At 46.1% G+C, this 2,636-nt stretch overlaps 1 annotated feature.

Annotated features, from left to right (window-relative positions):
• Nucleotides 958-1,458: an enhancer, noted in NCBI's record as "H3K27ac hESC enhancer chr7:6362882-6363382 (GRCh37/hg19 assembly coordinates)". NCBI's record gives its function as "activates a minimal SCP1, AML or CMV promoter by ChIP-STARR-seq in primed H9 embryonic stem cells {active_cell/tissue: H9 hESC(primed)}" and the evidence as "EXISTENCE:reporter gene assay evidence [ECO:0000049][PMID:30033119]".

Raw genomic sequence — 2,636 nt, 5'->3', positions numbered from 1 at the left:
TCACCATGTTGGTCAGGCTGGTCTTGAATTCCTGACCTCGTGATCTGCTCGCCTCAGCCTCCCAAAGTGCTGGGATTTCAGGCACAAGTCACCGCACCCGGCCCTGTTTCTGTTTTTCAGAAAGGGTCTTGCTCCATTGCCCAGGTTGGAGTGCAGTGGTGCAATCATAGCTCACTGCAGCCTCCACCTCCTGGGTTCAAGTGATCCCCCTACCTCAGCCTCCTGAGTAGCTGGTACTACAGATATACACTGCCACACCCGGGTAATTTTTTAATTTTTTGTAGGAACGGGGTCTCACTGTGTTGCCCAGTCTGGTCTCCAACTCCTGAGCTCAAGCAATCTGCCTGCCTCAGCCTCCCAAAGTGCTGGGATTACAGGTGTCAGCCACCACACCCAGCCAGAAAGCAGTATTTCTTTTCACACTCCCATATTCCAAGACTTATGACTCATGCTTGTTCAGGAAAACCTATTATGTGAGGGTGAGCTGAGAAAAGAGGGGAGTTTGGTTGATTTTAAATGCAGGTGCTTTGTTCCGTGTCTTAATTCATCTGGAAATTGAGAATGCGGCCGTAGGAGAACAGTGCTTTTTAGCTTTGTGTTGTGATGCCTTTGGGAAAGTGGGAGGAGTAGGTTAAGTCACAGGCAGATTCATTGTTAAACAAATGTTCATGGTTTCCTACTGCACGGTGTAAAAGCAAGGTTTGGCAAATACGTGAATTTAAAAATGTTTAAGCATTTGGAATTTCCATTAAAATCAGCTTCTCCTGGCTGGGGAGGGTGGCCCATGCCTGTAGTCCCAGCATTTTGGGAGGCTGAGGCAGGAGGATCACTTGAGGCTAGGAGTTCCAGACCAGCCAGAGGAACATAGGGAGACCCCCATCTCTTAATTATAATTAACTAACTTATTCATTTATTTATTTATGAGACAGAGTTTCACTCTTGTCGCCCAAGCTGGAGTGCAGTGGCATAATCTCAGCTCACTGCAACCTCTGCCTCCTGGGTTCAAGAGATTCTCCTGCCTCAGCCTCCTGAGTAGCTGGGATGACAGGCATGTGCCACCACACCTGGCTAATTTTTTCATATTTTTAATAGAGATGGGGTTTCACCATGTTGGCCAGGTTGGTCTTGAACTCCTGACATCAAGTGATCCGCCCGCCTCGGCCTCCCAAAGTGCTGGGATTACAGGTGTGAGCCACTGTGCCCGGCCTAATAATGCTTATTTTTGAAGTGATACGGGCATATATATTTATATATATTGTGTTTAAGTTGGCAGATGAGGTCATGTGTCATTGGAGGATGCCAAGTAATCACTTAGTTTAAGTGACCTTTATTCTGGGCAAATTTTAAGCTAGAATGCGAAAGTCTCACCTCCCTCTGAAGGTGAAAGACTGAAGCAGGCTGCACTGGATGGAACGCTGATGCCGGATAGACTGTTTTGTGAATCTCATGGTAATTTATGTGGCTGCATAATAATTTGGGAGGAGTGGATGAGGTTGGGAAGAAAGCCCCGGGGCTGTGCCCGTGAGGTTCGCGTTGACCACAAGAGGGAGCCATGTGTTCACCTAGGGAGTGTGCTGTTTTGGGATGTTTTTATGGTTATTTTGTTTAGCCAAATTCTTAAGCAAAAATTAACATAAAAACGTCAGACTTAGTTTAGTATGGGTTGTTAACGCAAGTGTGTGTAATGTATCAAACCTTACAACAAGATCGTAACTATTTCCTTTTTTAAATTTAAAATTTTTTTGTAGAGATAAGTTCTCACTATGTTGTCCAGACTGGTCCCCAAATAACAGGCTCAAGCAATCCTTCCACCTTGGCATCCCAAAGTGCTGGGATTACAAGTGTGAACAACTGTACCCAACCCAGCTGCAGCTCTTTATTTATTTGTTCACTTAATTTATTTTGAGACGGAGCTTCACTCTTGTTGCCCAGGCTGAAGTGCAATGGCACGATCTCGGCTCACTGCAACCTCTGCCTCCCAGGTTCAAGCAAAATTCTCCTGCCTCAGCCTCCCGAGTAGCTGGGATTACAGGTGCCCACCACCACGCCTGGCTAATTTTTAGTAGAGATGGGGTTTCACCATGTTGGCCAGGCTGGTCTCGAACTCTTGACCTCAAGTGATCCGCCTGACTCGGCCTCCCAAAGTGCTGGGATTTCAGGCATGAGCCACTGCACCCGGCCCAGCTGCAGCTCTTTAATTCAATACCCATAGGTGGTGCTTAAAGAAAGAAGATAAATGTGATAGAAAAGTAAAATGTATTTTTGTGTTTATTTTTTATTTTGGTGCATGGCTTTCAGTAAGAAACCACATTTTCACACTGCACCAACACGAACAGTAGTTTTAGGGCCAGGTGTGGTGGCTCACGCCTGTAATCCCAACACTTTGGGAGGACAAGGTGGGAGGACTACTTGAGGCCAGGCATTCCAGATCAGCCTGGGCAACACAGTGAGACCCCATGTCTACCAAAAAAATAAATAAAATGATATAAAATAAGATAAAAATTTAAAAGAGCAGTAGTTTTCTTCAGAGTGGGCTGGTCAGAATTTTCACTTCTGCCAAGGATGTTCACAGGCTCCCAATGTTGGGAGCTTTTCTGGGCCCTTTCAGGTGGATGGGGCAGGGGCAGGGAGGACCT

This window comes from Homo sapiens, chromosome 7, assembly GCF_000001405.40.
Source record: "Homo sapiens chromosome 7, GRCh38.p14 Primary Assembly".
Classification (NCBI taxonomy): domain Eukaryota; kingdom Metazoa; phylum Chordata; class Mammalia; order Primates; family Hominidae; genus Homo; species Homo sapiens.
This window is presented reverse-complemented; position numbering and strand designations above follow the sequence as displayed.